This window comes from Homo sapiens, chromosome 6 (genome assembly GCF_000001405.40).
Source record: "Homo sapiens chromosome 6, GRCh38.p14 Primary Assembly".
NCBI classification, from domain to species: domain Eukaryota; kingdom Metazoa; phylum Chordata; class Mammalia; order Primates; family Hominidae; genus Homo; species Homo sapiens.
Window position 1 is genome coordinate 103,211,160 of NC_000006.12, and position 25,004 is coordinate 103,236,163.

Below are 25,004 nucleotides of genomic sequence, written 5' to 3' on the forward strand. Positions count from 1 at the left end.
TTAAAACTGAGATTCTTCTGTTGAGTGACTGGCATTTCACAGGAAAAGTTTTTTGCACAATTTAATACTTTTATATATTTCTCTCAAAGAGCTCTTTTGGTGTGAAAAAATGTAAATGAGGTTTATATTTGTATAGTGCATGTTATGTTCTTGTTGCATTTAAATGTCCTGATATCCTACCCAAAGATTTCAATGTCCTGTTTTAAAACAATTATTTTTCCAGAACATACTTACAAGTGGACCACTTTGTCGTAAAAACTGTGTAGCTTTACGTTATCTTACATTATCTCCTGTCAGAATATACCCTCAACACAAGCTTTGTAGGAGTTTGTCTTCCTGAAAGAGAGTAAAAACCCAGTGGGAATTTCAATTATATTTAATATATTATTTAAAAGTAGATTACTCTCATAGTTTCTGATTTCAAAACAGTAAAAGTTTATACATAGTTTAAAAATAATTATGATGTTTAAGAAATAATATTGATATCCTTATTTTCTCTTTTGAACTATTGTTTTCTCCAATATTTTTGTGCCCATCTCAGGAGCTAAGACAATTCTGCTGAAAAAGCAGTATCATTCATAAGATGGTTAGAGTTCTGGGTTTGAATCTAACTCAACTCATATATTTAGGAGTTTTGTAGTCTTGGGCAAGCTACCTAACTGCTGGATGTCTGGGTGTCCTAAGGACAGTCAGTGATTTTAAGAAACATTAAATGGACATAGATTACGGGAGAACAAATGTATGATAAATGTCCTATCCTGAAGGAAGATTATCAACATCTATTAGGTGGAAAAACTCTGCGAATGCCAATTGAGTATGTGTGCGTGTGTGTTTATTAGGAAGAGGTAATGTAAATTAAATGCTGAAATTGTTGAAGGTAGAAAATAGAGAACAATAAGTTCCTACTGAATTTACCAAATGAATAAAATTAATAATCATTTCTTTTAAATATATTCTAAAATATCTAACATCATCAAATCCAAATGCTATCTAATTTAACTCATAGGATCTTTGACATTTTAGAGCTGAAGGAAATTAATGATATCATTAAAACTACTGCTGCAATTTAAAATCTATTGGTCTTAGTTATTTTTAGGTTTCTATTTATTAAGAAACTGCTACAGATGGGCATAATTTCTTCAGCAGCATCAATTAATTTTGATTAACTAACCAACATGCCATTTTATTTTGCGATTTAAATGCCATATGATTAAAGACAATGATTTATTAACTTACCTAGTTATTCAGTAGCCTTCATTGGAATCTTCAAATAATAACTGGCTAGACGTGTGTAAAATTAAACTGCTGTTTCACTGCAAAATTAATGTAATCTGAATTTACCCTTTTATGCAGAACTTTTCAAAATAGTTTTTTATTTACCTTCCTCTTTGAAAATAAATACATTTGCTTTCTCTTCCTTTATATTCAAAACAATAGGTACATTTAATTTAATTACATTTAATTGAATTACATTTCTTTTGTTTGTTGGTAATTAGAAGTAGTTCACAACATGTTGATATTCAAATCTGAACTGATTCTGTCATAAAAGTTAAATTAAAACATTTGAGTAAAAGTACATTAGTTACATGCAATTTTCCTTTTTAAAAAGATATTATGTAGAAACTTCATTATATAAAGAACCAACTAAACATAAATGTAGAATAAAAGGATCCTACTTTTGCAGCTTTAATAATTCCTCACAAAATCATATGTGATGTGCATTTGCCATGAAAACAGCATGATAAATATAGAGGTAAAAGTAAAAGAAGGTTAACTTTTTTGATATAATTCCATGAGCAATATTTGTCACCCCAACATTTACATGTTACAAAATATGATTATATAATTTATAGTTTACAAAATGCATTTTTAATGCTATCATATTATGTCATAAAAAGCAAATGAAAAAACTCTAGGCGGTGGAACAAACAGCAAGAAAATGGAGCTCACAGCTGTTGACTGAATTGCCATGGGCTAAAAAACAAAGCAAACAAACAAACAAGAACACCACCATCTACCCTGCCAGAGAGTCAATCATTCATAGTGCAGAAGTTTGGGATTGTTTATATAGACAAAGTTTAGGGAAGTTTAATAGAATTTCAACATTGTTCTATGTAAGAGTTTTGTGTTTTGAGGGTTTCAACAGGTTTTAAATTTGATTTATTTTAGCAGGATCATTAGTAATATTTATATAAACTTCCCTTTGGAAAGGTTCTTTTACTTCTAAGACATTTTTTCCTAATGGGATATATTTCATTGAGTAAAAAGAATTAAAAAACAACTACAAGAACATCTATGTTCATAATTCCTGATTAAGAAAGATAAAACCATACATATTTAATATTCTGGTTATTACATCTATTTTATTGATTACATAAATAAATATTGTTAAATAAAATTTAAGACACGTTCTTCTGCGTGACACTACATTTAAGCCAGGCATCCATTTTCACAGCATATATATATTTTTTTATTAAAATCATAAGATGTAAGTAAATGTACATAAAAATAGAGGTTAAAGAGTAAAATAAGACCAAAAATAAGGCTGCCAGGAGAGTGAAATTCTAACTTGAATTGGTTATTGAGCTTATTTTATTTTCAATTAACAATAAACATTATCTTCTACACTCAATTAGCAGCATAATCACCAATACAGAATACTTTACTTGTCTGTTAGTCAATACATACAGGCCCTAGAAGAGAAATGCAAAATTAACATAACCCAGGATTTATTATGTCGTTTGAAATACTGAAATAGACTTACCTTCCTTTCAGGGGGAAGCTTTAAGTCCCTTTTTTAATCATTTTTTAATATAGATGCCACTCTGAGACTCTGGTGAAATATATGGACCTGCTCTCCAGATAAATGCTATCTATGCTGAGCAAACCCTACTTCATTTGCATACAGTTGCAGGGGGTATTTTTGTAATGCCTGAAAATCATTTAAGTCTGTAAGTACTCAATATGAGTGAGTGAAAAGAAGAAAATGCCATATCCATATTCACAACTACAAAATTATAGAAATGTCAAAAATAAGACCCTATGAAATGTTCAAATTGCTTTGTCTGGCTGTTCTTCTCTTGGAATTTTCAAAATACTCAGGGAGTTCTCAGTGTTCTCTAACTTTACTCTCATGAGCCTTGCGGTGTTCTATGGCTCTGGAAGTTGACTCCAAACCTTTTAGTGAATAGAGGTCTTCCCAATACCCATTCCTAGTGAGTCTTGTCTCGGTCAGCAGGAAAGCTTCCAGCCAGTTCATGGAAGAACAGGTATTCTTGCTACTTGCATTAAGTATTGGCTGAAGCAGAGCTTGATTAAAACTTTGTCCCTGCATTGACAATGTAGCTGTATTCTTTCTAAGAGGACAAATTGATACAGAAAAATTCACTCTGGTTCTCTGAATTTAGACAGGCAGGTGGGCATTAACATCTCACTCAAATTAACACAAAATGCACTTTTCACAAACTATGTCAAATGTTACAGTTGTAATTCTTTTAAAAGCCTGTACAATCGAATACTGTTTCTACTTCTGTAAACTACCTCTAGGAAAGCTGAGTGAGATGAAAAACAATGCTTCAGTGAACAATTTATGCATATTCAAGCTGTGGAAATCTATGTATGAATATCAATTATTTTTGCAAATGTTGAAGTGGTATTTTCAAATCAGTTCACCCTTAAGTTCCTAATCTTTTTACCCTTAATGCCATGCATTGATCAAGTATGTAACCCAAGAAATATTTTTCTACCTTCAAAATGAAGGTACAAAAAATTTACACTGTTGCTTACACACATGGATTTAATAAGAAGTAATTTTTAGTAATCAAAAAAGTAAATGTGAAATATGTGAATTGCTGGACTGTATTTCACTTAATCATTGAAGCATAGATTGCATCTAGTAAAAATTTAGAAAAACAAACTTTTTCATGAGAAATTATGCTTTGACAATAGGCTAATTGGAGTTTCTCATCAGTGGACAATCACTAAGACACAGACTGATAGAACGTATTGTGTAACCATCCACAGATGTGCCATTCTTTTTGACAAATGCGTTGAAGAAGGTAATACAAAATATAATATTTACACTATTTCTAATTTCACAGCATTTGTGAAATAATAATGTATTCTAAAATAACTGACAGAAATTTCTACATAAGCAATCTATCAGTTTCCGGCAAGACTTCTATAATCCTGACATGCAAATATGAATAGGAGAGAAATATTAAAAATAAAAGTTGCATATACATTTTGAACAAAATAAACATGCATAACATAATTTTGCAATATTAAGAAGCTAGTTAAAGCTTTTGTTTTTAAAAGCAGTGTTGTCACTAAGGTTTCACTCATTAAGTTTGTTATCTATACAATATTTTCTGTCATTAAGATGAAAAAAGAAAAGATAGATATTGTACACTCACACAAATCTCTGTTCCTTGAATTATCACTAAAATGAAACCAAAGTGAACTAGTTATAAATCCACAAGCATCTAGAGAAACCAAGAACCAATGAGAGAAATAAGCACAATTTTGTGAGGTGGGAACTGAATGAATAGGTGTTAGTTGGGTTAATTAATGACAAAAGCCAAAACCTGTTTATAGAGAAAAATTTAAATAAGAGGCATATTGTTGCACCAAGCAATGACTGGAAAGGTTCACTAATTGGAGTCACCACCAAATATAAAAACAGAACTGGATGAAAAACAGAAAGAGTGATTGAAACCCCACATAAAGTGTGTTAAGTTCCACCTCTTTTCCACTAAACCATTCAGTTTGATCTTATGGCTTCAGGACAGTAGCAGTAGACAGGGAGTTTACTCTGTGGATGAGATCCAAAAAGAAACCAGTCACAAGGCTGTGTGAGTCTTAGGCAAAGGCAGAAAGCTGGGCCATTGAGTGAGCATCTGCTGATGAATGGTGAGGTCACTAGCTATTTTCCATGCTTAGCTTCCAGCTCAGCTTATACTGTCCAGAAAGGAGATTAAAATATTCCTGTCTAGAGAGGTGGATCATCACATGAAAAAATATTTCCTGGTCATTCAGTTTTGAAGATATCAATTGAAATGCTTGGTTCACACCAAATCAATCAACAATAAAACTACTGGAGAGGTCTCACTCATGTTAGAGTTTCCCATAAAATTATCCTAATTTTCTTTTAAATATGTTTGCTAGTTCTATGATTATTTTCCCTAAAGTTAATTTCTTTCCATATCTTGCTCTGTTTGGTTTCATATTTTCATTCTCCAAAACCATCTCTATGTTGCCAAAGTGAGGCACTGCCCCATGACTGCATTATCAGATGAGCCACTGTCTATGCCGCTAACCTCCTGTACTAATTCTCTGTTTTAAATACTTAAAGTATTTCATTTCTTTCTGGTCGAGGTTTGACTAAAACAATATGAAAGGATAGAAAAGATCATCAGAAATGGAAAGAGTTATCTATCATAAAAGTCAGAAACAAAGGAATTTCAGAGGAAACAGGAACAATGAACAAAAAGTTTTAAATGAGCTATAGTTAATATTCTTAGGTAGTTAACAGATATTACATCTATCAAATAAGATTAAAGAGTTCCATACACAAGAAAGTGTTCTTTTCAATTAAAGATATGATTCAATGGGAAATTCATGGAAAGGTTAATAAGATTAAAGTTAAAGAAATTTTGTAAAATGTAGAAAAAAAAGACAAATTCAAAAAAAAAAAGTGAGACAAACTGGCAACATTATATGATCAAATTGGAGGCTAGACGTATGACTAGGAGGAGTCCCAGAAAGAAAGAAAATAGAAATTAAGGGAAGAAAACAATTCAAAAACATTACACAAGTAAATCTCTACAAATATTACTGCAGAAGTGTTCAGTTTTAAGGATCCACATGTTAATAAAGTAAATGAAAAAAGTACACACCAAAATGAATTTCCCTAAACATTTGGAAAACCATAAATAGATGATTCTAAAAGTTTTCAAATAGCCAAAACAGTCCTATACATAGAATTAAGAGTCACAATATCATTAGGAATTTGCAAGAGCAATAGTGGAAGCCAAAAGACAAAACGGGGCAAAGCCTTTGAATTTCCGAGAAAACGGGAGTGTCAACTGAAAATTCTATTTTCAGGAAAGTTACTTAGGAAATGTGGAGATTCTAAAAGACTTTTCTGAAACATACGATGTCTCAAAATGTTATTTTCCAGGTATCCACAGAAAGCTACTAGAGGATAGATGTTCTACAAAATAAAAAAGTAAATGTAGAAAAAGGAAAGGACCAGGTGAAAAAGAACAAAGGAACAGTAAGATTATATGAGAGGAAATTCCAGGTTATTGTTATAGAATAAAGTCCCAAGATGACAGTTGAAGAGCAAGCAACGTGGTCAGTCAGTTTCACAGTCTGGCCTGAAAACAGGAGGACTTGGAGGCAGATGTCTTCATGAAGGTTAGAAAAAGAAACTAAATGTATTACTGGAGTACAAACATGTTTGAAATTTTTAACATGTACATATAACTCTGTGAAAGTGGGAGGATAATAAGTGTGTGTTCATGGAAACCTAACCAATTAAATCAAATTTTAGACAGAAAGAAAAAAAAGTAATTCTTGATTTTGGTCCTGCACCAGGAGTGGAGTATTAAGTTTTATACTTAGGTTTTATATTTAGATTTTGAAAAATTACCTTAATGACTTTGTACTTTTAGTTATTGCTACTTTATTACCATAGTAAATAATATATACCAGAGGAATATATACTATAAAATATAGATGGAATACTAAATATAATATCTATATATTTCTACCTGTAGTATTTATATCATAATCTATACTATGAATATTTGTATATAACATAAACAAAAAGCAAACTATATAAGATTTATATTGTTTTATAATAATAGCTCTTTGCCTCAGCAAATAGCTCATTTGTTGATTTTATACAAGAGCATTGAGGCTTTTTTTTTCCAAGAGATAACATGACTTAGATTAAATATTTTACTTGAATAAATAATCTTTGATGCCGTTTTCAATACCTAAATTCTAGGACTCCATGAATAATTCAAAACAGAAACATAAAATATAGCTATTACTGATAAAAAATTTATTTCATTTTAAAGCTATATTGCCTTAATGGGTTTTCCCCATAATTCGAAATTAAAGAAATATTTCCAGTCAAACATAAGATTCATTTTCATAAGGGAAAAAGTTTTTTAATAGCAAGCTAAAATGGATAGCTATGATAGCAACCATGTATGCATATTTAGATGCAATAATTAGATTTATGCTTATAGTCTCTAAAAATGACTGTAGGCAATTATCATCAACTGTAGTGAATTCAGAAGGCTTCTACTGAGGGAATAGCATCCTTTAAAGACCATAAACTGTAAAGAACATGTATTTTCAGAGTCATAATACTTTTTTCTATTCTAGTTGAAAAAAGTTTGACTATTTTATTTCTTCCCTATATTAGTTATGTTGTTATTCTCACACATATTCTTTTGTATTACTTAGATTTTCTGTTATGATTTACTGTACTTATTGTTTTATGACAGGCTATTATGTTGGGAAGAAATTTTCATAGTTAAAACTCTACCACAATACTTTGACATGAACATAGATTAAGGCTTATTTGTTTTCCTGATAAGCTTTTTTTAACAAAATATTTTTAATTATTATGATTACCTAACAATTATATATGTTTATTGGGTACATGTGATGTTTTGATACATGCATACAATATGTAATGATCAAATCTGCATTACTGGGATATACATGAACTAAAGTATTTTTTATTTCTTTGTGTTAGGAATATCCCAATTGCATTTTTGAGACATTTTAAAATATACAGTAAATTTTTGTCAACTATAATCACCCTATTGTGGTATCAAGTACTAGTTCTTATTCATTCTAACTGACTGATTTTTAATGCTAATCTTTTTAACCTAAAATTCAGATTATTTTCTCATATTCATAGTCTCATGTGATCATAGTCTCCTGGTGTTTCTCACCCCAAGATTTACATAATATTAATACATTGTTTTTGCATATCATCGGGTAGTTTCAGCATACCTTTCAGTACACAGGGGAAGATTTAAAATGTCATTTCTCCAGTAAACATAGATAAAATAATAACCATATGTAGTCAATATCTTTAATATCAATTGTGAGAGTGCTTTATCAGATTTGGTGCTTAATACCAAACATTGAGAGGTATCTACTAGCAGAGATTTGTTTTATTTTCAATTTTTACAAGGTGAAGTTTAAGGCCCAATATTCTTTATAATGTGCTATGTGATTATCTGTCTCAAAATAATTTTAACATAAAACTATCCAGGGGTAGAATCCCTGTTTTAATGTATCACCTTATCTATCAAAAGATATTTTCATATCCAAATATCCAGATAATGCCTTTGTTTCTTCATATTCCAGCTAATTTTTTAAATGCCCACATGGAAATTAGGATATCCATTTCAAAGGTACATTTCAAAATTCCCTTATTCCATCTTCTTTAAAAAATATGTTTATATAAGGTAACAATTCCAACAGTGTGCCATTGGGTTTATAGCCCAAATAGACATAATATGTATAATAGTAATAGCACAAGAAAGTACAGGTGGTGGAACAATACAAAAATAAAGTTTATGTATTTCACTAAAACCAAGTTTGTTTTTAACTGAAGTAGATTCTGATTAGTTAAGATGTGTAATGTAAGCCAAAGAACATCAAGTAAGAAAATAACACAAAGATAGAATTTAAAAATTATACACAATAATAAAGGAATCCATTCTCTTAAGAACTCATATCAATTCTTAATTTATATGCACCTAACAACAGATCCTTAAAACCGATAGAACTTGAGACACTAAAAGAACATCAGGGAGAAATGCTAAATTTGATATTATAGTTGGAGTCTTCAACACCCTTCTGTTAGTAATTGATAAATCTAGTAGGAAGAAAATCAGTAAAAATATATTTCAACTGAACAGTGCTATCAATCAACTGAACATAATAGACAACTATAGACTCCTTCATCTAACAGCAGTAGAATAGACAATTTTCTGAAGCTCACAGAGAACGTTCACTAAGATAGACCAGATTTGAGCCATAAAACACACCTTAATAAGTTTAAAATATAATAAATTTTACAAAGTATGTTCTCAGCCCACAATGGAATGAAACTAGAAATCCATAACTGAAATACTGGAACACCCAAAACACTTACAGATTAAACAACATACTTCTAAATAAAATATGGGTCAAAGGAGAAGTCTCAAAAGAAATTAAAAATATATATTGAACTAAGTAAAAATAAAAATGTTACTCATCAAAATTTGTGGGATGCAACAAAAATTGTGTTTACAGGGAAATTTATATCACTAAATGCATATTATTATAAAGTAAGAAAGATCTAAAATCTTTCTTCCATTTAGAAATCTAGAAAAAGAAAAGCAAGTTAAATGCACTGTAAACAGAAGAAAATAAATAATAACAATTAGAAAAAATCAATAATATTGAAAATAGGAAACAAGTAGAGAAGAGCACCAAAATGAAAAGTACTTAGAAAAGATCAATACACTAAGAACCCTCCAGGAAGGTTATCTAAGAGAAAAAGAGAAAAGACCCAAATTATTCATGCCAGAAAAGAGAGAGAGACCATCAAAGTAGATCCCATGGACATTAAAATGACAAAATACTAGCAAACTGAATTCAGCAGCTCATTAAAAAGATCATTCACCGTGATCAAGTGGAATTCATCTGAGGGATGCAAGGATGGTTCAAATATGTAAATACATAAATGTGATACACTACATTAACAGAATGAAGAACAGAAACCACGTAATTATCTTGACAAATACAGAAAAAGCATTTGACAAAATTTAAGACCCTTTTGTGATAAAAATTATCAACCCATTAGATATAGAAGGAATGTACCTCAGTACAAGAAAGGTCAAATATGACAAACCCACAGCTAATATCATACTGAACAGCGAAAAGTTGAAAAACTTCTTCTCTAAGATCTGGAACAAGACAATGATGCCCACCTTTGTCATTTCTACTCAACATAATACTGGACGGTCTAGATAGAGCAATTAGGCAAGAGAGAGAAATAAAGCAATATACATTTAAAAGGAAGAAATTAACTTGTCCTTCTTTGCAGATGACATGATCTTTTGTAGAGAAAACCCTAAAGACCACCCTAGAAATTGTTAGAACCAGTATACAGTAAAGCTTAGAATACAAAACTGACCTACAAAAATTAGTAACATATATACGAATAAAGGACCATTTGAAAAATGAACCAAGGAAACAATTCTGTTTATAATAGCTACAAAATACTTAGAAATAACCTTTTTTATTTTTAATTTTGTGGATATATAATAGTTATACATATTTATGTGGTAAATGTGATATTTTGATAAAAGCATACAATTTGTAATGATCAAATTAGGGCAATTGGGTTATCCATCACTTCAAACATTTATTATTTCTTCATGTTAGAAATACCTGTTATGATAACTATAGTTAATAGTTAATAAGATCTACCTATTGTAGTAGATCTTCTTCCTTCTTTCTAACTGTATTTTTCCACCCATTAACCAACCCATCTTTATTCCTTTACCTGCATCATTTTTCCCAGCCTCTGGTAGTCATTATTCTATGCTTTATCTTCATGAGATCGTTTTTTTAGCTCCCATATGTGAGTGAGAATATATGATGTGTCTTTCTGTGCCTGCTTTATTTTACTTAAAATAATGTCCTCTAGTTTCGTCCACGTTGTTGCAAATGACAGGATTTTATTTTTTTTATGGTTGAATAGTATTACGTTGTGTGTGTATATATATATATATGTATACACACACACATACACACACACACACACACATATATATATATATATATATATAATTTTCTTTATCCTTTCATCCTCTGATAGACACATATGTTGATTCCATATCTTGGCTATTGTGACTACTTCTGCAATAAACATAGGAGGGCAAATATCTCTTCAACATACTGGTTTTCTTTCTTTTGAATATATACCCAGCAGTGTCATTGGTGGGTCATATGATAGATCTACTTTTAGTTTTTGGGGGAAATCTCCACTGTCATTCCTTAGTAGCTCTACTAATTTACATTCCCACCAACAGTATAAAAGTGTTCTCCTTTCTCTTCATCCTCACCAGTATCTTTTTTTTTTTTTTAGTTTTTTGATAAAAAACATTTTAACTGAGGTGAAATTATATCTCATTGTTTTGATTTGCATATCTTATGCTTAGTGATGTTGAGCATTTTTTCATGTACCACTTGGCCATTTTTATGTCCTCTTATGAGAAATGGCCATTCAATTATTTTATCCATTTTTTTCTTAAGCACTTGGGTTTTTTGTTATTGAGTTGTTTGAGTTCCTTATATATTATGATTATTAATTTTTCAGTTGAATTATTTGCAAATATTTTCTTTTATTCTGTGGATTGTCCCTTCACTTTAATTATTTCCTTTGCTGTACAGAAGGCTTTTAGCTTGATGTGATCACATTTGCCAATAATTTCTTTCTTTCCCTGTGTTTTTAAGGTCTTACTCAAGAAATCTTTGCCCAGACCAATATCCTGGAGCATTCCCCAGCATTTTCTTCTACTAGTTTCATAGTTTCAGGTTCTACATTTAAGTATTTAAACCATTTCGATTTGATTTTTGTGTATTATGAGGGACAGGAGTCTGATTTTATTCTTCTACATACAGTTAGCCAGTTTTCGCAGCATCACTTATTTAAAAAACTGTCAAAAAAAGGCCAGGACTAGATGGATTCACAGCCGAATTCTGCCTGAGGTACAAGTAGGAGCTGGTACCATTCCTTCTGAAACTATTCCAATCAATAGAAAAAGAGGGAATCCTCCCTAACTCATTTTATGAGGCCAGCATCATCCTCATACTAAAGCCTGGCAGAGATACAATAAAAACAGAGAATTTTAGACCAATATCCCTGATGAACATCGATGCAAAAATCCTCAATAAAATACTGGCAAACAGAATCCAGCAGCACATCAAAAAGCTTATCCACCACGAACAAATGGGCTTCATCCCTGGGATGCAAGGCTACTTCAACATACGCAAATCAATAAATGTAATCCAGCATATAAACATAACCAATGACAAAAACCATATGATTATCCCAATAGATGCAGAAAAGGCCTTTGACAAAATTCAACAACACTTCATGCTAAAAACTCTCAATAAATTAGGTATTGATGGGACATATCTCAAAATAATAAGAGCTATCTATGACAAACCCACAGCCAATATCATACTGAATGGGCAAAAACTGGAAGCTTTCCCTTTGAAAACTGGCACAAGACAGGGATGCCCTCTCTCACCACTCCTATTCAACATAGTGTTGGAAGTTCTAGCCAGGGCAATCAAGTGGGAGAAAGAAATAAAGGGTATTTAATTAGGAAAAGAGGAAGTCAAATTGTCCCTGTTTGCAGGTGACATGATTGTATATCTAGAAAACCCCATCATCTCAGCCCAAAATCTCCTTAAGCTGATAGGCAATTTCAGCAAGGTCTCAGGATACAAAATCAATGTACAAAAAACACAAGCATTCTTATACACCAATAACAGACAAACAGAGGGCCAAATCATGAGTGAACTCCCATTCACAATTGTTTCAAAGAGAATAAAATACCTAGGAATCCAACTTAAAAGGGATGTGAAGGACCTCCTCAAGGAGAACTACAAACCACTGCTCAAGGAAATAAAAGAGGATACTAACAAATGGAAGAACATTCCATGGTCATGGATAGAAAGAATCAATATCGTGAACATGGCCATACAGCCCAAGGTAATTTATAGATTCAATGCCATCCCCATCAAGCTATCAATGACTTTCTTCACAGAATTGGAAAAAACTACTTTAAAGTTCATATGGAACCAAAAAAGAGCCCACATTGCCAAGTCAATCCTAAGCCAAAAGAACAAAGCTGGAGGCATCACGTTACATGACTTCAAACTATACTACAAGGCTACAGTAACCAAAACAGCATGGTACTGTTACCAAAACAGAGATATAGACCAATGGAGCAGAACAGAGCCCTCAGAAATAATGCCACATATCTACAACCATCTGATTTTTGACAAACCTGACAAAAACAAGCAATGGGGAAAGGATTCCCTATTTAATAAATGGTTCTGGGAAAACTGGCTAGCCATATGTAGAAAGCTGAAACTGGATCCTTTCCTTACACATTATACAAAAATTAATTCAAGGTGGATTAAAGACTTAAATGTTACACCTAAAACCATAAAAACCCTAGAAGAAAACCTAGGCAATGCCATTCAGGACACAGGCATGGCAAAGACTTCATGTCTAAAACTCCAAAAGCAATGGCAACAAAAGCCAAAATTGACAAATGGGATCTAATTAAACTAAAGAACTTCTGCATAGCAAAAGAAACTACCATCACAGTGAACAGGCAACCTACAGAATGGGAGAAAATTTTTGCAATCCAGTCATCTGACAAAGGGCTAATATCCAGAATCTACGATGAACTCAAACAAATTTACAAGAAAAAAACAAACAACCCCTTCAAAAAGTAGGCAAAGGATATGAACAGACACTTCTCAAAAGAAGACATTTATGCAGCCAACAGACACATGAAGAAATGCTCATCATCACTGGCCATCAGAGAAATGCAAATCAAAACCACAGTGAGATACCATCTCACACCTATTAGAATGGCGATCATTATGTCAGGAAACAACAGGTGCTGGAGAGAATGTGGAGAAATAGGAACACTTTTACACTGTTGGTGGGACTGTAAACTAGTTCAACCATTGTGGAAGTCAGTGTGGTGATTCCTCAGGGATCTAGAACTAGAAATACCATTTTACCCAGCCATCCCATTACTGGGTATATACCCAAAGCATTATAAATCATGCTGTTATAAAGGCACATGCACACATATGTTTATTGTGGCACTATTCACAATAGCAAAGACTTGGAACCAAGCCAAATGTCCAACAATTATAGACTGGATTAAGAAAATGTGGCACATACACACCATGGAATACTATGCAGCCATAAAAAATGATGAGTTCATGTCCTTTGTAAGGACATGGATGAAGCTGGAAATCGTCATTCTCAGCAAACTATCACAAGGACAAAAAACCAAACAGCGCACGTTCTGGTTCGTAGGTGAGAATTGAACAATGAGAACACATGGACACAGGAAGGGGAACATCACACACGAGGGCCTGTTGTGGGGTGGCGGGATGGAGGAGGGATAGCATTAGGAGATATACCTAATGTTAAATGACGAGTTAATGGGTGCAGCACACCAACATGGCACATGTATACATATGTAACTAACCTGCACATTGTGCACATGTACCCTAAAACTTAAAGTATAATAATTAAAAAAAAACTGTCTTTTCTCTAAATAAAAAAAATCCTAAAATTCACATGAAACAACAGAAACCTTGAATAGCCAAAGTAATTTTGAGCAAAAAGAACAACACTGGAGGTATATTACCTGATTTTAAAATGTACTACAAATCTATAGTAACCAACACTGCATGATGATGGATGAAAAATAGACACATAGACCAATGGAACAAAATAGATAACCCAGACCTAAAGCAATAAGACTACTAGAAGAAAATGTGGGGAAAAAATGCTTTCTGATATTGGTCTGGACAAGAATTTTTTGAATAAGACTCCAAAAGCACAAGCAGCAAAAGGAAAAATGGATGAATGGGATGATATCAAAATAAAAATCTTCTGCTTGAAAAATTAAAAAATCAACACAGTGAAAAGACATCCTACAGAATGAGAGAAAATATTTGCAAACTATGTATCTGAAAAAGGTTTAATATTCAACATATATAAAGAACTCAATAGCAAACAATAATTATTATTATGATAATTTATTTTTAAAAGTGGACAAAAGACTGACTAGACATTTCTTCAAAGAAAACATACAAATGACTAATAAATATTTGAAAAAAGTGTTTAATGTCAGCAATCATCAGGAAAATGCAAATCAAAACCACAATGAGACACCACCACCCAATTATTAAATTGGGTATATTGAAAAGCAAAATGAAACAAATGCTGACATAAACGTGGAAAAAAGAATGTCTGAACACCACAGATGGGAATCTAAATTAGTAAAACTACTAAGGAAAATAATATGAAAATTCCTCAAAAAACCAAAACTAGATCTGCCATAGTATCCAGCAATCCTATTTCTGAGTATATATTATAAAGAAAGGAAGTTAATGTGTTGAAGTGATACCTGCACCCCATGTTTATTGAAGCACTATTCACAATAGCCAAAATTTGAAATCAACCTAAGTGTCCATCAGTGGATCAATGGATAAACAAAATGTATAGATGCACAATGGAATATAATTCATCCATTAAAAAATGAAATGCTGTCATTTGAGACACGGTTGAACATGAAGAAAATTATGTTAAGTTAAACCAGGCACAAAAAAGACAAATATTTCATGACCTTATCGATATGTGGGAGCTAAAAATTTTGTTCTCATAAAAGTAGAGAATAGAATAGTGATTCCAGAGGCTAGGGAGAGAGGAGAAAGAAAGAAACCGTCAGGCAGGCAGTTAGAGTGGGTCCTCAGTAAAACTCCTTTAAACTAGGAACAGCCTGAAAATAAAACTGCAGGCCCCATAAGATAAGAAAGAGTCTGCATTCTTGGATGGAAATGCCTACTCTTTGAACCCAGATGAACAAATTCCACTCCTGTTTTGGACACATTTCCCTCTCCTTGGCTTACCCCTCTGTCTCGTTTCACACACTTCCTCCCAACTGGTCCTTATCTTTCACTTATTTTACATATACCTATATTTCTGTGTTTGGTCATGGGCCGAACATTAGTTTGCATAAAGTGTAACATTCCTCCAGCCCCTGATTGGTTGTAGGCTGAGCCTTTACCTCTGCCTTCAATTGGTTCTTTCCACTAACATGTCTCTTTCTGATTGGTGCTTCCTCCAAGTTGGCCCGCAGACCAATCAGTGCATTCCTCCTCCTTCCAAGTGTATAAAAACCCTGAACTTAGCCTCACAGCCAGAAACCCTATCTCAGATCCCTTCTCCTTGGTGAGAGCTTCTCTGCTGCTTAATAAATCCAACTCTGCATTACTCACTCTCTGGTGTGCATGTGGCTTATTATTCTTGGTTGTGGGACAAGAACCTGGAGCTTGCCAGTGGTGGGAGTAAACGAGCTGTAACACTTTCTCTCACTAGCTGAAAACCTAGAGTGAAAAAGCTGTGATGGGGAGAAAAAACTATGGAAAAAACTATGATGGGGAGAGGGCTGGTGGGAAAGGAAGAGATTGGTCAATGGTTACAAAGATACAGTTAAATTGGAGAAATAATTATGGTATTATATTTAACAGCAGGGTGAATACGGTTAACAATATTTCATATTTCCAAATAGCTAGAAGATAGGATTTTGAATATTCTCACTACAAGAAAATTATAAATATTTGAATTGATCTCAAATATTTCTAGAGATCTCTAGAGATTTGTGGAACTTTGAATTTGAGAGAGATGATTTAGGGTATCTGGTAGAATAAAATCCTAAACAGCAAAGCTCTTAAGAGTTGACAGAGCATTAAAGTTAGGAAAATTTGCAGGCTGACAATGTGATAGAAAAGAAAAACCCATTTTCTGGGGAAAAATTCAAGCGTGCTGATGAAATTTGTGTAACAAGGAGCCAAATGTTAATCATCCAGACAATGGGGAAAAATGTCTCCGGGGCATGTCAGAAGCCTTCATGGCAGTTCTCCCATCACAGGCCTAGAGGCCTAAGGCCCCAGGCCTTCTTGCTTTGTGCAGTCTTGGGAATTGGTGCCCTGCTTTCTAGCAGTGGTTAAAAGGAGCCAATGTGCAGGTCAGGCCATTCATTGCTTCAGAGAGTGCAATCCCCATGCCTTGGTAGCTTACACGTGGTGTTGGCCTGTGGATATGCTGGAGTCAAGAATTGAGGTTTGGGAACCTCTGCCTAGATTTCAGAGGATGTATGGAAATGCCTGGATATACAGGCAGAAGTTTGTTGCAGGGGTGGAGCCCTCATAGAGGCAGTGAGGAAGGGAAATGTGGGGTCAGAGCCCCCACATAGAGTCCTCCATGGGGCACTGCCTAGTGGAGCTGTGAGAAGAAGGCGACCATCCCTCCAGACTCCAGAATGGTAAATCCACTGACAGATTGCACCATGCACCTGAAAAAGCCGGAGACACTCAATGCCAGCCTGTGAAAGCAACCAGGAGAGGAGCTGTACCCTGTAAAGCCACAGGAGTGGAACTGCCTAAGGCCTTGGGAGCCCACCTCTTGCATTCACATGACCTGGATGTGAGACATGGAGCCAAAATGATGATTTCAGAACTTTAAGATTTGACTGCTTTATTGGATTTTGGATCTGGATGAGACCTGTAGCCCCTTTGTTTTGGCCAATTTCTCCCATTTGGAATGAGTGTATTTACCCAATGCCTCTATTTACCATTCCTCTATTGTATATAGGAAGTAACTAACTTAATATTGATTTTATGGGCTCATAGGTGGAAGGAACTTGCCTTGTCTCAGATGGGACTTTGGACTTGGACTTCTGAGTTAATGCTGAAATGAGTTAAGATTTTGAAGGACTGCTAGAAGACCATAATTGTGTTTTGAAATGTGAGGTCATGAGATTTGTGAGGGGACTGGGCAGAATGATATGGTTTGTCTCTGTTTCCCCCACCCAAATCTCACTTTGAATTTTAATACCCATAGTCCCCACATGTCAAGGGTGGGATCACGTGGAGGTAATTGGATCATGGGGGTGGTTTACCCCATGCTATTCTCCTGATAATGAGTGAGTCTCACGAGATCTGATGGTTTCATAAGCATCTGGCATTTCCTCTGCTTGCACTCACTCTGTTCTGCTGCCCTGTGAAGAAAGTGTCTGCTTCTCCTTTGCCTTTTGCCCCAATTATAAGTTTTCAGAGGCCTCCCCAGCAATGTGGAACTGTGAGTCTATTACACCTCTTTCATTTATAAATTACTCAGTCTCAGGTATTTCTTTATAGAAGTGTGAGAATGGACTAATACAGCTACTGTTGCCCTAATATCAAAAACAGATTAAAAAAAAAGAAAAACCATAGACCAATATTTCTCTTGAACATAAATTAAAAGACCCTTAGCAATATATTGGCAAATTTACTCTAATTTCCAATAAATTACTAAAAAATATATACCACAAGCAAATACGATAGCTATGCAAAGTTCTATATTCAAAAATCAATTACTGTACTTCATACCAATAAGCTGTAAGAAGAAAAATCAGGTGATCATATCATTACATGAACTTAGAATACACAATGTAAGTGAAAGAATCTAGTCACAAAATACTGCATATTGTATAATTCCATTTTTATTACATGCTCAGAATAAGCAAATACGGAGAGACAGCAAAAAAGTTACTGGATTTTTGTGCCTGGAGGAGAGGGTAGAAAGCAGTTACTGTTTATGTGTATGAAATTTCCTTTAGAGAAACTAAAAAATTAGATTGTGGTAATGTTTGCACACTTTGTAAATGCACTTAAAATTGATTTTATACTTTAAATCAGACAATTTTGAGGTCTATGAATTTTATTTTAATCAAGCATTTTAGAAAAGTTATTACCAGGGGGCTGTTTGTTTTATCCATTTTTGGATGGACCTGTTATTGACTTTATTTTATAATTTTATATCTCCTGTTCTTTAACAAATTATTTTCAATATATTTTATTAAAACTCTCCTTCCACATGTTTTTCTTATTTTGCTATTATTTTTCTACTTTCTAAAATGTAATAACTATATATACTTGAGCCCAGGAGTTTGAGAACAGCCTGGGCAACCAGGCGAGACCTCTCTCTCTACAAAATTTACACAAAAATTAGTCAGGCATGGTGATGTGTGCCTGTGGTCCCAGGTATTTGGGAGACTAAGGTAGGAGGATCTCTTGAGGTGAGGAATTGCTTGAAGCTGCAGTGAGTCACGATCACGCTATTGCTCTCCAGCCTGGGCAACAGAGCAAGAGACCATCTCAAAAAAATAAATGAGAGAGAGAGAGAGAGAGAGAGAGAGAAGACTGTACATTTTCCTTTGAGTGGGATTTTATTATTTCATAATATTTAATCTAAATGTTTTTTCATTGTTTCTCTGAATAATTTTAATAATGCTATTTTACTTTTTTAATTTAATTTTCCGCTGAATAGTAATTAACAATTTTCAGCTATACACTAAAAATATTAACTACACTGCACATTTTTCCTATCCAATAAGTTACTTTTTGTGATTAAGTACATAAGAAATGTTTATAAATAATCCATAAAATTTCATTGTATTGGCTGGGCACGGTGGCTCATTTCTGTAATCCCAGCATATTGGGAGGCCGAGGTGGGCGGATCACGAGGTCAGGAGATCGAGACCATCCTGGCTAACACGGTGAAACCCCATCTCTACTAAAAAAAAATACAAAAAATTAGCCGGGCATGGTGGCAGGTGCCTGTAGTCCCAGCTACTCGGGAAGCTGAGGCAGGAGAATGGCGTGAACCCAGGAGGCGGAGCTTGCAGTGAGCTGAGGTTACGCCACTGCAGTCCAGCCTGGGCGACAGAGCGAGACTCGGTCTCAAAAAACAAAACAAAACAAAACAAAAATTGCATTGTATTATGAAATCACATTTTTAAAAATTTTAAAACAACATTTTCTGGCCAATTTAAAAAAAACACATAAACTCATCTGAGATTAATTCTGTCATGGAAAGAACTGTCTAACAATAAAAGTATAGATATGAGAATATAGATATGAGAAGATAATCTGCTAATGACTTACGAAGTAGTCACTGTAGTTTCCCTGAGTTGAGAAAAAAAAAAAAATCTCCTTTTGCTGTAAATGACAGATCTGCACCTTTTTCCTAATATGTGAAAACTTCGGAGAAAAGTGCTATCTAGCCCTAAGGTGTTTGCTCCAGGAGTAGAGCCATCAACTCAGATCTAAAATTGAATTTGAGAAGAGTGTTATGTTCATCAATCATTAGACTTCAGATGTCTAACAGTAATTCTTCTCCTGGGTTCCAGGTGAACATCTCTCTACTTTAAAGCAGAGATTCATTGTGAGTATAAAGTCAAACAGATTTTAATGCAAGCACACAGAAAAATGGCTAGCACTTGCAATTATTTTTATACCAGTTTTAATGAGAAAAGCAAAGTAAGCAAATTTCATCAAGTTTTATGTCTCTCAAAGAGATCCTGTTTGAGAGATTTTCAAAGTTTTATTGACTAAGTTTTATATTAAGTGTCAATCAAGTAAATTTTATGCTTATTTATTGTTTACATTTTGATTTTTATATACTTACTATCCAATATTTTCTGTTAATAAAACTCCTTATATAAAGTTGTGGGGAAAGTTCTTACTCAATTTTTTATAAGATTCTAACTTCCCGGAAAAAGGAAGTAACAAGTTTGTACATTGTATTAAATAGTTTTGTTAGAATAGTCATAAGTCTTGCATGGGTAATTGTAAAGTGTGAGAATGCTTTCTTAAAATCATAGCTAGCAGTATTTAAACAAAATAACATAACTAAACTTAACTAAGGCAAGATGTACTTATTTTTTGTGTGACAGAAAGAAGAGTTACAGGAAAATACTTAATGTTTGCTAATGTTTTTCTGAACATTTAGGTGTCAAAATAAAGAACAGCAAAGCACACATGTTACAGTAAATTTTTGCAAAGAACCAACCAGACAAATTCAAATTTTGTGAGTGTATGATTTCTCCATTCTAGGAACTTTGAGGGCCATTTATGCTATTGTTTACCTTATTTAATATGCTGTCTTAACCAAAGTCTATTCTATGTATATTTTATAATATTGCAACAATGCTTAAAATCAGAAAATGAATGGGGCCAACTCTAAAACTTGAAATTAAAAAAATATTAGAGACGTCCAGAAGCTGAAATCAGACATGTGAGAAGAATAAAATAAAATACTTACATGGGTTCAATTTCTTAGGGAAAATTATGGCATGTCTTAAGAGCAGATAGCAGAAAACACAAAATGTGAAAATAATAGGTAGTTACATTCAATTAAAAAACAGTTCAAAAATACTACTTGGTTGAGTGTTAACATTAAAAAACCCTTACACATTACTTGTTTTTTTTTTTTTGTTTTTTTTTTTTTTTTTTTTTTTTTTTTTTTGATACAGAGTCTCTGTCGCCCAGGCTGGAGTGCAGTGGCGCGATCTCGGCTCACTGCAAGCTCCGCCTCCCGGGTTCATGCCATTCTCCTGCCTCAGCCTCTCTGAGTAGCTGGGACTACAGGCGCCCACCACCACGGCCGGCTAATTTTTTGTATTTTTAGTAGAGACGGGGTTTCACGGTGGTCTCGATCTCCTGACCTCGTTATCCGCCTGCCTCGGCCTCCCAAAGTGCTGGGATTACAAGCGTGAGCCACCGCGCCCGGCCTACTTGTTCTAAAGATGAGAAACTTGAAATTCCATCATATTGGTTGACTGATAAGCAGCATGTAAATGGTAGTGACAGTCTTCGCTTTAGAATTTAGGGGCCAGTTCCCAATTTAGTGCACTTTCTACATCCACTCATCATGCTCTGCATTACGGGAGTTTGTTAGAGATACTACTTTAAAGCATCAGTTAGTTAAGAAGAGTATTTCTCATTTTCTTAAAGTAGAAATTTTCAAGGAACACTGAGTTATTTTCTTGGCCAGTAGTAAGAAAATATTTACATATATTTTTTTTTATTTCAAATGCCAGAAAACCTCTGGCATTTGAAATAAAACGTACTCAAATATATTATGTTCAGATGAAAAGCTGATTAAAATCTTATAAATATGTGTGGATGGCTTTCACATACAAAATAGTGTGGAAGGTGCATCTAATTATTCATTACAATAACAGGCAACAGAAAATGAGTAGGCATATTGCTTTTTGTGTTGTATACAAAGGCGTACCAGACTTAGGGTATCATTCACACATCAAACACCAATTATCTATCAGTTACCTTTTAGAGGAAAATATTAGTCTATTGACAGGCAGAGGGGGAAAAAGAAATAAAAACAAGCGATATAGGAAATTGAAAACCCTCATTGATTCATATAAAGTCAACTAAAAGTGATCCGTAAGCCAAACTCTTATTATCAAATGTTTTAATTATAAGGTTAAAATATGTTATAGCAATCAGAAAGCAAAAATAAAAATAAAATTTCAATGATCAAAAAAACAAAAATCATTCCTGCCTTAAGACTCCTATAAATAACATAACACAATGTGCATTACCAATAAATATTTTGAGGCTCAATGTCTAACTCCAAGATTTTTTATGTACAAATAAAATTTTGTTTAACAATACAGACAATTGAAAGGCATTTAATATAGGAGAGCATAGAAAACAAAATATGTATTTGCTTTTCTGTAGAGAATTGCTCCCGCAACTTTAGGTTGATATTGCTATGAAAACTAAGAAATTTCAAGAACTGAATCAAAATTAGTAACTCAAGAAACAAGAAGTTGGAAATACAAGTATAAACTATTGAAAACAGAATTACTACTCTATTATTTCATAAGGCAATACATGTGAAAATAAAATATAATTTTGAAAAATGTGATTTACAAAATAAGAACCATGGGAAAAAAGGTTATGTATCTTGTTATGATCATATATGATCATTATAGAAGCTGTAATAGTCTTCAATTAAAATCATTTTTCCAAGAAAACTTATATAAATTTTAAAAAAGTAAAATTGTGAATAGTCATGCTGGTATCTTTTACACCATTCATGCAAAAATCTAGAAGTAAAAGTGAGGTTATGGTATTTCTTTATAGTAGAATTATAAATAAAGATTATATTCTTTTTTGTACTGTTTATGTTTTCAAATCTCCTTAACAGGCATTTTATTTACAATAAAACATCCAGCAAATGTAACTAAAAACATAAAAACAATAAAATGTTGACTTGAATTAGGCTCTTGAATATATTAAATGAAAGATTGAAATCTGTGCATTTTATTATATACTGTACAAAAAACAATTATGCATTCTTGAAAAGGAGGATTACTTGATCATGGATTTGATTTAAAAAGAAAAATCTGTCTGCAGCATAAGAAAATATAGCTTTGAATAACAGAAAATATTCAGAGGATGTCAAAAACCCAGATAAAAGTGATGGAAGGCTTGGAGTGTGGTCATAGGGATAGAAATAGAAATAAGAGGTTGAGATTGAAAGAAGGTGAAGAAGTAGAATTGTCAGAAATTGGCAGTCAATTATATAAGGGTTAGGGGGTGAGTGAGAGGTCAAACATGACTTTAAGGTTTTGATTCTCATGAAAGAAAGAATGGCAATGTTATTAACAAAGATTAGGAATAGGAGAGAAAAAGACAAGAAGATCAAAGATGGAGAGATGAAATACTTAAAATGTAACAATATAATCTGTCACTGAATCTATCTTACTATTGAGTAAAATGAAAGCTGAACACTGTTAATACAGATTAAATGAAATTTTTAAAACTTGCTTTGACAGTTTGGGGGAAGAGTAGAAATAATTACTGAGGTCTGTGACAAGTCCTAGAAATTAAAATATCTAAGAACATGTTTCTGTAAACCATATGAACTATCATGTCTTCTACTGTATATCACATTTTAAAAAATATATATTATTTCTTACTGGGGAAAAATGGTTGTGTATGTTAAGCAGAGTTGTCATAAAAATGCTGCTTTCCCTAGGGAGTAAACACCTTGGGAATTCAGTGCCAGCTGTGTTATGACTGGCTTTAACCATACACTCATATTTTAAAACTTTAAAAAAAAATCACAAAAAATACTTCAAAAAAGTATTAAATAACTAATTTTTTTGTATATTTTAGGCATGCAAAATGTATCATCATAAATCATCAAAAAGTTTTCATTAAGTACACATACACCATGCGATTCCACTAGGCACATGCAAAAAATTAGCCTAGGCCACTATGCCTAGCTAGGCTATCTGCATAGCCTAACACGCACTAAAAAATATAAGCTTTATTCCTTTAAAAGAGAATAATAAATAATTCAAATTTCTAGATATTTGGTAAGAGTTAAATTTAAGATCAGAGGAAAACTTCTAACTATAGGTAGGTAGACTATCATCGATAAATTCAGTAGGGAAAGGAATCAGTTGAATTCTATAATAAACCTGAGAATAATTCTAAGGGCCACTGCACTCCAGCCTGGGCAACAGAGCGAGACTCCTTCTAAAAAAAAAAGAAAAAGAAAAAAGAAAAAAAAGAAAAAGAAAGTTAAATTTACATATGTAGAAAGGTTCAATTATTTCTTCACTATTAAACTTTGGGCACTTGAGGACTATTCCATAATGTTTTATGCCTATAATTCCAATAACTAGTGCAAAATCCATCCTATGTATTCATAAGAGTTACAGCAAATGAACATATACTATAAAATATTTTATTTATAAACTATATATTTCTTACACTGAAAAATTTAATATTTAAATGCTATCTTATTGACTCCTCCCTCTAAATTTATAAGACAACTAGAAAATAGAAGGGACAAAAATTTTAAGAAAAGATTTGTTCAAATGAGAACACATGGACACAGGGAGGGGAACATCACACAGCGGAGCCAGTCAGTGGGTGGGGGGCTAGGGGAGGGATAGCTTTAGGAGAAATACCTAATGTAGACGATGGGTTGATGGGTGAAGCAAACCACTATAGCATGTGTATACCTATGTAGCAAACCTGCGCGTTCTGCATGTACCCCAGAACTTAAAGTATAATAATAATAAATTTTAAAAAAGATTGGTTCATTAGCAGCTATCTCCCAATGTCTGTCCTAATCCCTACTTTATGAAGAATACCTATGTTTTAATTAATCAATCACATTACTTTCATTTCAAAATCAATATATTTATGGCACAACTGCTCACACTCCCACAGACATAAACTAACAAAATCTTTTCATGTTTTATGTATGTTGAAAATTA